This window comes from Homo sapiens, chromosome X (genome assembly GCF_000001405.40).
Source record: "Homo sapiens chromosome X, GRCh38.p14 Primary Assembly".
Taxonomy (NCBI): domain Eukaryota; kingdom Metazoa; phylum Chordata; class Mammalia; order Primates; family Hominidae; genus Homo; species Homo sapiens.
This window is the reverse complement of record NC_000023.11, coordinates 64,915,364-64,928,077: the sequence shown is the minus strand read 5'-3', so window position 1 is coordinate 64,928,077 and position 12,714 is coordinate 64,915,364. Positions and strand designations below refer to the sequence as shown.

Genomic DNA, 12,714 nt, shown 5'->3' with positions numbered 1-12,714 from the left:
CAGGCAAACTACAGAAAAAATTTTTGCAATCTATCCATCTGACAAAAGTCTAATATCCAGAATCTACAAGGAACTTAAACAAATTTACAAGAATAAAAGAAAGAACCCCATCAAAAAGTGGGTGAAGGATATGAACAGACACTTCTCAAAAGAAGACACTTAAGTGGCCGTCAAACATATGAAAAAAGCTCATCATCACTGGTCATTAGAGAAATCCAAATCGAAACCAAAATGAGATACTATCTCACACCAGTTAGAATGGTGATCATTAAAAAGTCTGTAAACAACAGATGCTGATTATGTGGAGAAATAGGAATGTGTTTACACTGTTGGTGGAAGTGTAAATTAGTTCAACCATTGTGGAAGACAGTGTGGTGATTCCTCAAGGATCTAGAACCAGAAATACCATTTGACCCAGCAATTCCATTACTGGATATATACCCAAAGGATTATAAATCATTGTACTATAAAGACACATGCACACATATGTTTATTGCAACACAGTTCACAATAGCAAAGACTTGGAACCAACCCAAATGCCCATCAGTAATAGACTGGATAAAGAAAACGTGGCACTTATACACCTTGGAATACTATGCAGCCATAAAAATGGATGAGTTTATGTCCTTTGCAGGGACATGGATGAAGCTGGAAACCACCATTGTCAGCAAACTAACACAGGAACAGAAAACTAAACACTACATGTTCTCACTCATAAGTGGTAGTTGAACAAAAAGAACACATGGACACAGGGAGGGGAACATCACACACTGGGGCCTGTCGGGGTGGGGGGCTAGGGTAGGGATAGCATTAGGAGAAATACCTAATGTAGATAACGGGTTGATCGGTGCAGCAAACCACCATGGCATATGTATACCTATGTAACAAACCTGCATGTTCTGCACATGTGTCCCAGAACTTAAAGTATAATAATAAAAAAAAGAAAGAAAAATTTGATAAATTGGACTTTTAAAAAAAATTTAAATACTCTTCCAAAGACCCTTTCAAGGTGACAAAAAGGCAAGCTACTGCGTGGGAGAAAATATTTTCAGCCACATGTCTGCGGAAATACTCAAATCTAGAATATATAAAGAAATATTAAAACTCAACAGTGAGAAAACAAATATGGTTGTCCCTCAGTGTATATAGGGGATTGGTCCTAGGCCTCTACCTGTACCAAAATTTGCACATATCCATACTCAATCTTACAGTCAGCCCTGGGCATACAAAAAGTCAGCCCTCCATATATGCAGGTATTACATCCTGTGAATACTGTATTTTTGATCCATATTTTGTTGAAAAAAATCCATGTACAAGTGAATCTATGCAGTTCAAACCCATGTTCTTCAAGGGTCAATGGTAATCCAGTTAGAAAATGAACCAAAGACATGAGCAGACATTTCATAGAAAAGGATATATGGATGGCAAATAAGTATGTGGAAAGGTGTTCAACATCAATGGGCATTAGGGAAATGCAAATTAAGATCACTTTGAAGTATCACTACATATTTATTATGATAGTTAAAATAAAATAGTTGGCCAGGTGGAGGGACTGGATCACTCATATTTTGCTGGTGGGCATGTGAAATGATACACTCTGGAACAGTTGGGCAGTTTATTGAAAAGCTAAATGTGCAATTATCATATAACCCAGCAATTGTACTCTTGGATGAAAACTTATGGTTACCATAAAACTTGTACATGGATATTCATAGTGGCTTTATTCATAATTACCAAAAATTAGAGTGAGTCTAGATGTCCTTTAATAGACATTGTTTGAGATTGCCATTGCATGGTGGTAATAAAGAGTAGACCAACTTTAGTTGGTTTTATTTTTATATTTTAATTTTCTACACACAGCATACCCCCTTATTGTCTTCACCCCAGGGTAGACTGTTGTTACTGCCCTGCACTTGATGCACCACTATTGAAAGATATTAATGGCACCATCAAAGCCTGCAGTGACATTGTTGTCCCTCCACTAAAGCAAGGACCAGGCTTCCCTCAGAGAAACTGACTTTACAAATAGTAAATAGAGGCTCTTTCTGAAACCTATCTTCGTAAACATATTTCCCTCTCCTAACAAGGAGTTTTGGCCCTTCTGCCCTTTAGTCAGGGTCTTGGTCCTTGGTATTTCTTGCCACAGCAGGCAATAGACAAAGGCTCCCAAAGACCTTGGATGGAGGCAGACATTGTGGCTATGTACCTTGTACCCAAAGGATTAAGCTGCCATCTTGCTGGTGGCAGCCCTTCACCCCAGAGAGAGGAAATGCCACTGGTGCTTTGAGGAAGGCTTTGTGCCTTTGATTTTCCATGTCAAGTCAGCACTTAACTGTGACCCTGGACACATGAGGTGAAAAATCTTTGGTTTATTTTGGCATTAATGTCTCTTGCCCAATAACATGGGTTTCTGTAAACAGAAGTAGGCATGGAGGGAGGAGGGAGGATTACATAAAAGGGACTCATCCAAGCAGGGCTAGCTGCACTATGCTGATTTCTATTAAATGGCAATGGGAGATACCCTCTTACCCCTGATTTCAGTTAGTGGTAGTTACTTTCATCTTAATCGAATTAATTACAAATTGGGAAGGCTTGGGTCAGCTTCATAAAATGCTGTTATTTATGTTGACATTTTTATGTGGCTTTAGCTAATATATGTTTTAATTTTAGATTCAGGGACTACATGTGTACATTTGTTATATGAATATGTTGCATAATATTGAGGTTTGGGCTTCTAGTGTACCCATCACCCAAATAGTGAACATTGTACCCAATAGGTAATTTTTCAACCTTTATTCCCTTCCCATTCTCCCACTAATGATTATTATTTTAATCTCAGTAACCAGCAATATACCTGGCCACTCATGCATGTGCACACACACAAACCCTATTTGCTGTAGTGGAAACCACTCTGGTGAAGGAGATATCCATGGTGGAAGAGTTGGGCAGAGTGGAGAAAGAAGGACCCTATCATTTGTTGACTGCCCACCATGTGCCACATACTCTGCTTGGTGACTTTACATGTCTTAGCTCATTTAATCCTCACCACATAATGTGTAAAGTAGATGCTATTATTATTCCTGTGTTACTGATGAGGAAGCCAAGGCTGAGGGAAGTGAAGTGAGATGATCAGATAACGTCACTCTTCCGGTGCTTAAAATTATAAAATTCCCCTTCCACTGAGGATAAAAGTCCCAACTCGTCCCATTCTCCAAGCTATGTTTTAGGGCCTGTCAACCTCCCTAGTTTTATCTAGGCCCCTCTCCCTCTTGCAGTAGGTGCTCCAGCCACACTGCTCTTCACTCAGTTCCTTTAATGTGCCATATTCTTCTTCTGTGGGGCCATTACTCATGCTATTCTTTTTGTCTGGACTGTTCTCCTGTGTGCCCACCTGCACTCACCAGCGAACTCCTATTGATTCTTCAGGTCTCAGCTTAGATTTCACATCCTCAGTTCTCAGGGAAGCCTCCTCTGACTGTCCCCTTTACCCTATAGTGTCCCTCAGACTATGTTAGGTCCCTTTGTTGTATCCTTCTATCACATTCTGCATCTCCTCCCTACCACTAATATGATTTTACATACAACCTTGTGTTCAGGATCGATTTTCTTCATTAGATGAAACTTGCTGTCTATATACTGTCTTGTTCTCTGCTCTATCCCTAGTACCTAGTACAATGAATGCCTGGCACATGATAAGTATTCAATAAATAATTATTGACTGAATATATATTGAAACCCTCTATAATTAATACATAGTAAGTGCTCAATAAATATAGTTAAAATACAGTTGTTATTATTGTCCAAAAGCAAATAGTTAATCAGAGGCAGAACCAGGATTTATAATTGAAGTCTGAGTCTAAAGCGCATGCTTCTTTTATGATATGACTTTGTCTGCAGAAATAGGTTCTTGGCCCAGCACTGCCCTAACTGGTTGTATGACACTTAGGGTGAGACACTATACTACTCTGAATCTTAGTTTTCCCATCGGTAAAATGGTTACAGGAGCAGGCAAAGTTCAGGTTTATCTTCACGTAACCTAGAAAAGGAGGAGAATAGAAGTCTAGATAGATGGGGATATAAGCAAATAAGTAATTAACCAATACAAATCAGTATCTTCCCTCTGCAAGACAGTTGATGAGCTATAACAAGAACCCTTGATGTTTTTATGCCCTTCAGCCTGGTAACCCTGTTCAAAGGCAATATAGAGTAGTGGATGGTATGGATGGTATGTAGGCTTTGGTGTTAGAGAGCCCTGGTTCAAATCCCAACATCCAATTTACTAGCTCTGTGGTACTGGGCAAGTTACCACCCTGAACCTCACTCAATTCCCTTCTCTACAAATGGGATAACACCCACCTTTTAACCCATTTCTAAGGTTACAAAAAAAAAAAAAATACAATAACATGAAAAGATGTTTTCTTAGTATAGAAAGAGAAACTTCTCCCACCATCCTACCCACCTAACAGTTCTTTCTGTAGTTCTGTGCCATTGAAGGCTACCTCTTGAGGCAAGAGGCACAGGCAATGTCAAGAAAAGAGAGACTGAAGACAAGCAGGCTGATGGCAGAAGCCAGAGTCCAGTGTGTGGAGTTGGATCACCCATAGGATAGACTGGGGCAGAGGGGAAGATCAGCTACTGAGGGAGAAGAAAGGAGACTACAAATCTGAGTAAGGGGATAATGGCTAGGCAGATCCTGAGAAGCATGGTAGGGAGCCAGTGGGAAGACAACAACATGCCTTAGAGGGTACCCCTTTCAAAACTTTGTAGCCCTTTCCCAGAGGCAGGCTTCAAATTATGTTATTAAAGGCCCTTGAAACTGTGTTTCTTCCAAATCTTTTTCTTATTTAGTCACATCCATGTATGTTTTGAAATTGTAATCTTAGTGTGTACACTTTTTCAGCGAGTATCTTATCTTCAACATTTTCTATGTCACAAGTCTTCAGTGGCTGTCAAATATCCTAATTTTGCTGAAAGCCCAGAAAGTACACCTCTGTGTATTAACTTTTTGCTTCCTTGAATTACCTCCTTAAAATATATTCCCAAGTATAGGATTCCTGAGCCACACGGTATACAATTGGGATTTAATGACCAAAACCAGGTTTTTCTTTTTCTAAGAAAGAAATTACCCATAATATCCTTTCCCCTTCCTTTTCTGGAACTGATAAACACACCCTCTAGAGTTGTGCTGTCTAATATGACAGCCAGTAGCCACACGTGGCTGTTTAAATTTTAAGTTTGATTAAATAAAATTCAAAACTCAGTTCCTCAGTAGCACTGGCCACATCACAAGTGCTCAGTAGCCATATGTGCATAGTGGCTATTATACTGGACAGCACAGATACAAAACATTTCCATCACTGTAGTAAGTTTATTGGACAGTGCTTACTTAGAGTTTCTCAAGAGATCATTTTTGGTTTCTTGGGTGGGAGTTCTTTGTGTTCAGGACTTTCCTGGGCATTGAGAGGCTATTTAGCATCTCTGGCCCATGTCCACTAAATGCCAGTAACACATTTCCTTGAGTCAATCTAACAGCCAAAACACTCCATATTTGCAAATGCCCCATAAGGGAACAAAATTAACCCCATTCGAGACCCACTGAGCTTTTAGAGGGAAACATCTCCTAACTTTTTCTTGAGACAAGGTCTTGCTCTGTCACCTAGGTTGGAGTGCAGTAGTGCAATCATAGCTTAAGCAATCCTCCTGCCTTATCCTCCTGAGTAGTTGAGACTACTGGCATGTACCACCATGTGTGGCTAATTCTTTCTTTCTTTCTTTCTTTTTCTTTTTCTTTTTCTTTTTTTTTTCTTTTTTCTTTTTCTTTTTTTTTTTTGTAGATATAAGGTCTCACTATGTTGCCCATGCTGGTTTCAAACTCCTGGGCTCAAGTGATCCTCCTGCCTCTGTCTTCCAAATTGCTGAGATTACTGGCATGAGCCATTGCACCTGGCCTTCTTTTTTGAGATGGCCTCAGGTTGGCTCTGCCTGGAGAGGGGGAAGCTTGTAAAGATGGCTTAGAAAAAAAGTCCTGGCTCCATTTCTATTTTCTCCCTTCTTTTGCTGGCCTGTTTCCTGCTTTTTGCAAATTGCAGGAACAAGACCCTGCAGATGGAGAAGATCAAGGCTCGTTTGAAGGCTGAGTTTGAGGCACTTGAGTCAGAGGAAAGGCACCTGAAGGAATACAAGCAGGAGATGGACCTTCTGCTACAGGAGAAGATGGCCCATGTGGAGGAACTCCGACTGATCCACGCTGACATCAATGTGGTACGTGGCTGCCTGGAGCCTATCTCTAAAGCCTTTGAGAAAGAGGTAGTGGTGAATGATAGGGCCTTTCCTTGAGATGTGGCTTAGGCCTAGCTCGGGGAGCAGGCATCAGTGCAGGCTGTGGTAGAGCAGAAGAATTCAGGAGTTCTGAGATCCAGCCCTGGCTCTGTCACTAACTGACTATATATCACTGGACAAGTCCCTTCTCTCTGGGCCTCATTTTCCCTCTCTGCACTATAAGGGGGACTCAGTACCCTCTAAATGTACTGATTTGATGTGCTCTCATTCTGGGATTCTGGGAGTTGAGAGCTAGCCTTGGGGAAAAGCAGAGCAGGCAGCTGCCTCTGGAATGTAGTTTAAAGCACTCCAAGCTTTCAGTCAGACCAAACAAATCATTTCTGCCTGCTACCAAAGTGGAGCTTCCTCATTGATATATCCTTTGGAAACTCTTGGAACACAGAATATGAACTGTCTGCTAAGGTGGTAAGCTCCCCTCTTTGGAATTATTCAAGCAGCATCTTAATGGACACTTGTATGAGCTACTGTACTGATGATTCCTTCACAAGGAAGGAGGTTGGCAGTGCTGACCAGTAAGGTCTTTTCAAACCCTTATCACCCATAACCATGAAGAATATATTTTTAAAATTTACTTTCAAAGGAACTAAGTTTATATTTCTGGAAAACTCATTTCTGTGGCAATACTCATTTTCTGATGTTGTCAGACCTAGGATCATAAAGGAAATATGAATGAGGTTTGGACAGTAAGCAATTGGGATTTTCTGTGTTAGAGATCGCAGAATTCTAGATCTCATAAAGTGTTGACAGTTTGGCTGCCAGCTAACCAATGATACAGGGCCAGTTAAATGAGGAAGATATTTGCCAGAAGGGCTAAGAATATAAGCCAGTGGATCTCAAACTTGAGCATGCATCAAAGCCACTTTGAGAGCCTAAGACACATATTGCTAGACTCCACCCCTGATTTTCTGATTTTGTATGTCTGAGGTGAACCTAAGAATATGCATTTCTGAGTTCCCAGGTGATGCTGATGCTGCTGATCCCTTGGCCACATTTTGAGAATCACTGATCTAGGAGAAAAGACTGCTGGCCTGGGAGGCGGAAGCCCTAAGTCTTTATGCAGGATTTGATACTAAGAAGTATTTCCCCAGGAAAGTCCCTTTTTCTCTTTGAGCCTCAGTTTTCTATAAAATGGGAGTAAGGTGGACTAAATGAGCTCTGAAGGACATTCCAGCTCTAAGATACTATATTTGAACAATACCATTTATTTAGCAGTAAATATTAATTTAGCCCATTTACTGAGTGCTTTATATGAATCCTATCATTACATCTTCACCAAGATTGCATGAGTTAAGCACTAGAATATCACCATTATACCGATGAAGAAACTGAGACTTGACCAGAGTTACATGGAGAGGGCATGGGAGATCAAGGACTTGAATATAGACTGAACAAGTTCTGGAGCTTGTGCTATTATTCACTCAGCTATAGATCCTCTCTGAGAACCTTAGGATCTTTTCTCTGTGCCTATCCCACTCTATGTTCCAGATGGAAAACACTATCAAACAATCTGAGAATGACCTAAACAAGCTGCTAGAGTCTACAAGGAGGCTGCATGATGAGTATAAGCCACTGAAAGAACATGTGGATGCCCTGCGCATGACTCTGGGCCTGCAGAGGCTCCCTGACTTGTGTGAAGAAGAGGAGAAGCTTTCCTTGGAGTAAGCTACCTGCCCCCAGTCCCTACAACATACCCTCCCTCCGACCCACATACATACTTACATACCTACACACACACGGGCAGGTATACATACACAAAGCCTAGCCTGAAAGTCAGAGTGCCTAGTTTTAGTCCCAGGCCTTTCAGTGGCTTACTCACTGTGTGATCTTGGGCAAGTCTCTGTGCCAGCTTGTTAAAACAGAAGGAGGATTATTAAACTGGATGAATTACTAGATGAATTAGAACAACTACTAGGTGGCTTTTTAAATTCTTTGTGTGATATTGACAATACAAGACTATGTCTATAACTCTTAAGAGATCATTTCCCAAGTCAGGGTCTAGAAGGCGATATCTAGAAACCTCTAAAAACAAAAAAGACTGAGCTTTCCTGGTCTTCAGGAAGTGGCCTGGGACTTACTTCATCTCCTGGCTCAGAGTTAAGAACTAGGCTTGCCTTGCAGAGAGACAGAATTTGACCTGGTAGAGGAAATCATTTCCTAAAGGTAGAGCAAGGTGTCTGTGGAGTTTGTGAGCTTCCTACTCTTAGAGATATGTCACCAGAGGCCTTAGGACACTTAATAGGAATACTCAAAAGAGCATGAGATAGCAGATAGGACTGAATACCCTTTAAGGATCTTGCTAGCCCTAAGATTTCTTGGTCTTCTTGGCCTATCAGAGCTAAGGACAAAGAGGATTACCCTTCTCATCAGACATTGGGCCTAGTACCCAGGGACAATAGCCTTGTGCTTGGGAAGGTGTGGGGACCTTCTAGAATGAGCCACAGCTCAACCCTTGGTTGTATGGCATGGAGTCTTTAAGAGGAGCAAGGTTCTCATTGCTTTCAGAATGATCTAGCCAGTGTCTCTCATCTCCAAAGTTACTTTGAGAAGCAGAAAGCAGAATGGCAGACAGAACCTCAGGAGCCCCCCATCCCTGAGTCCCTGGCCGCTGCAGCCGCTGCCGCCCAACAGCTCCAAGTGGCTAGGAAGCAGGATACTCGGCAGACGGCCACCTTCAGGCAGCAGCCCCCACCTATGAAGGTAAGTGAGCTGGGTAATGGTTGTGGAGGAAGCAAAGTATCCTCCCATGGAAGGGCCGTGGAAGGCTAGTTCTGGGTCTTTGGCTTTATTTATGCTGGGCCTTCTTTTAATGGCCTTTGCTTGTGACACAGTGGAAGGGGTGACATGGGTGTGCTGTGTTGGACACACACAGCACAGGTTTTGTTGCCCCATGTTCCCAGAGGTGTTAGAATGCAGGGAGATTTTCAGGCCCTGCTAGAGTGCAATTCTAAAAGTTAGAAATGACTCTTACACAAAGATGTAATGAGCATGTATCATAAATGAGGGAACCAGCAGGATTATAAAGCTGGTTCCAGGAGCATTTGGAACAAATATCTATATAGTCAAGAAAGGAGAGGAAGGCTGAAACAAATTTGCAAAGTTAGATGCAAAACTGGTTTACATCCCACAGGACAATAAAACTGTAACTTTATAGTTACTTTTTCTTCCAAACAGAAGTAATTTGCATCTCTACTGGGCAAAAGCCATTTGCAGCTTATCAGTGTAACATCACAGAGCCTGGGTCCTAATCAATTGGTAAATAGTCAAACAAAGAGACATTCTTCTAGAGCAGGGGTCATCAAATTACAGCCTACAGGTCAAATCTAATCTGTTCCCTGTTTTCGTTAAAGTTTTATTGGCCCACATGCATGTCTGTGTTTGCAAGCTATTGCAAACAACATGCATGCAAGCTATTGTCTATCACTTCTTTCATGCAAAACAGAATTGAGTAGTTGCAGCAAGTTTATATGATGTAAAAAGTCTAAAGTATTTGCTGTCCTGGCCTTTACAGAAAATGTTTGTTGACCCCTGTTCTAGAAAATTAAATAGTCCTTAAGTGGGCCTGTTAGACAATGCTTCATTATAATGACGAAAAGATGTGTAGTTCTCATTTTGCCTTACTTTCTAGTTTTGTATACTTTTTCTCAACACCATTCTCTGAACTGGGTTATGTCCTTCCTTCCCATCTTCCATGGCATCCAAGAATACTTGAGTCTACTCACTGATTATTGCTCTCTTCTGATGGGAAATCACTTTGCTTTCTGGGCCCCTGGGGAATCAGAAGTCTAAGTTGTTGCCTGGAAGAATCTGACTACTAACTTTCTTTTTCCTGTGTCCCTCACCAGGCCTGCTTGTCATGTCACCAGCAAATTCACCGGAATGCACCTATATGCCCTCTTTGCAAGGCCAAGAGTCGGTCCCGGAACCCCAAAAAGCCGAAACGGAAGCAGGATGAATAAAGAAAGGGAGAGCACATGAAGCTTTGCTAATTATAACCCCTCACCTTGACCAGAGTCATTGATGTCCTGATGTGAAACAACCCTTGCCCAACCCCACGAAGTCTCCTATTTAATGTGATGGAAGCACAACCCCTCTCTCACTTTGCTCCTATTTCTTTCTGCTCTTGGGATTTCTGGTTTAGGAAGAGATGTGGTTCAGGTGCTAAACAGTGTGTCTGATGATCCCTTCTCTCCCACTCACATTTCAACCCCTGCCCTTGTTTGGAGCTAAGGGAAGGGCAAAAGGCTCAGATATGATTCTCTATCTCTTGTGCCTGAGGCCTGGAGCCTAAGGAGCTGTAGGGTCTGAGGGGCAGGGGAGGCCCATATCTTGTTTCAGGTAAAGGACCCAGTATTTCCCCTCCTTGTACTTTTGCCTTAGGTTCTCAAGGGACAATAGTCTTCATGTTGGATTCTCCAACAGGCTGGGTGCATGTATCCCCCTACTCCTACCCTCATCTCATCCTTAAGGCCCAGAGGTAGCTTGGACAAGCCCTCCTTTTCATAATCATTTGGGAGGCATGGCTGTAATTCTTTAGCTTTCTCCACTTCTGTCTCCCACATATACTAAAATTCTTAGGTACTAGGCTGTGTGTCTTGGGATCTTAAGATCAATGAACCTTTCCCCAATATCTAGTCTTTGCAAATTCTAGTAGAAGATTTCCACAGTGAAATCAGTGAGCCAGACCAACTCTACATCTCCTGCCTAACCTACTGCCTAAGTCATTAGGGCTGAGGGCTCGGCTGTAGGGGCTTCCTTAGGCTGAGAGTGCCCCCAGGCTGACATCTGTGTTGGCTTTTGTTCAGAACCATTACTCTGGCACATGCTCAATGGTATATTGCAGGGAGGAGAGGAGTAGATTTAGATTTGAGTAAATGCCAATCACTTTACACATGAAGGTGGGTGGGACTTTCCTTCCATTCATCCCTTGCTCTCTTGGATCTGAACTCTTCTGGAGCCTCAGCTCAGGATAGCTGCTGGCCACTCCTGTCCTGTGGATTGTGCAGGTGGCCTTTCCTCCCAAAAGAAAAGGCATCAGGCTCCCCAAGCCCCACAGCTCTCCTTTCCACCAAAGCCAGGTTTCCTGGTAAGGTCACTCGAAGATAAGGGATGGGGATGGGGGCTGACTGACAAAAAATTTTAGCCCCAGGTCTCAGTACCTGGCTGGGGAGGGGGATATTTTTCCTTCCTTAAGTAGTTTTACATTGCCACAGTGTGTATGTGTTCACTATATAAAATGTTCCTCTGCTCTTTGAAAGTAAGAGTGTTGTGTCTGTACAAATCCTTTTAACATGCATTCATTGGAGTAAATTCTGAGTATCTACTGTGTATTGGATAATACAAAAGATGTAATGTCATTTACCTTTCTGGGTAGCTCTTGTTTGCTCTTATTCATTCCACCTTACAAATGAGAAAGCCAGGCACCAAGGACAATAATTTACCTAATTATCACAATAATTTCCATTTATTTAGCACCTACTCTGTGCCAGGTACCTATGCAAGTTGCTTAATATAAATGATTGTATTTGACTTCCAAAATACCTTACAAGCTAAGTATTCTTATCACCATTTTAAAAAAAAAGGGATACTGAACCTCCAAAAACTTAAAAGCTTTTTCAGAGTTAAACAGCTAGTAAGAGGAAATTGCAGGATTTGGAGCCAGCTTTGTCCAACTCCAGAGCTCATTTTTTTCTACTTCTTCTCCATGATCATTTTTAAGAAAACCTTTCTCCCTTTCAGAATGGCTTGATGATGAGAGTGGTTGAAATAACTTTGGAACTGAAATCAAGAACTGGGTGTCAAATGACTGATTCAGGGATATAAAGGCCAAGGGCTCTCTAAATAATATCCTGTACACTAATCTGTCTCTGTGCTTGTCAGGGAATTCAACAGCTAAATAAAACCTCTCTGTGCCTCAGTGTCCTCATCTGGAAAATGGGGAAAATATTAGCACTTATTTCATGGGATTGTGAACAATGTGAGGCACATAGTAAGCACTCATAAGTATTAACATCCTTTTATTCACTGTGCCTCTGGGTTTAGGTAGATTGGAACACTAGTCAAAAATTATACTACTCATCTTCCCTGATATCACCCCAGGTTTTGTATAGCTACAGACGTGCTTTTGAAGTGGCTCAGGCTCACTCTGGGCAAAGGGAGGACAGTCATCTGTGCAACTTGGAGTACACCTTAACCTGTATAGGCCTTAGTGAGTCCCTGTAAAGTACAGGAGGCATGGCCATAGCTCTGCATCCTTGGCACAATGGAGGTCAGGTCTGTCAATTATGTTGTAGTGATGGTAACAGGTTTTGAACTCTGAGCACCAACAGCCAGGAAAGCCATTTCCTAGGGATGCTTTTGAAGGGGAAGAGAGTAATC

General features: G+C 41.9%; 1 protein-coding gene across 5 annotated transcripts in view; it reads left to right on the top strand.

Moving 5' to 3' along the window:
• The window catches only part of ZC4H2 (zinc finger C4H2-type containing), a 118,935-nt gene extending 106,664 nt beyond the window's left edge, over positions 1-12,271 (top strand). For 2 of the 5 annotated variants that reach the window (NR_045044.2, NM_001178032.3), the window contains exons 2-5: positions 5,835-6,261; positions 7,825-7,997; positions 8,874-9,036; positions 10,182-12,271. Coding sequence is in view for 4 of the 5 variants with exons in the window: in NM_001178032.3 (NP_001171503.1) it covers positions 6,106-6,261; positions 7,825-7,997; positions 8,874-9,036; positions 10,182-10,295 (606 nt within the window). In the remaining variant the exon portion in view is untranslated. The remainder of the gene's footprint in view (positions 1-5,834; positions 6,262-7,824; positions 7,998-8,873; positions 9,037-10,181) is intronic. The other 3 variants (NM_001243804.2, NM_018684.4, NM_001178033.3) reach the window with 2 other exon arrangements.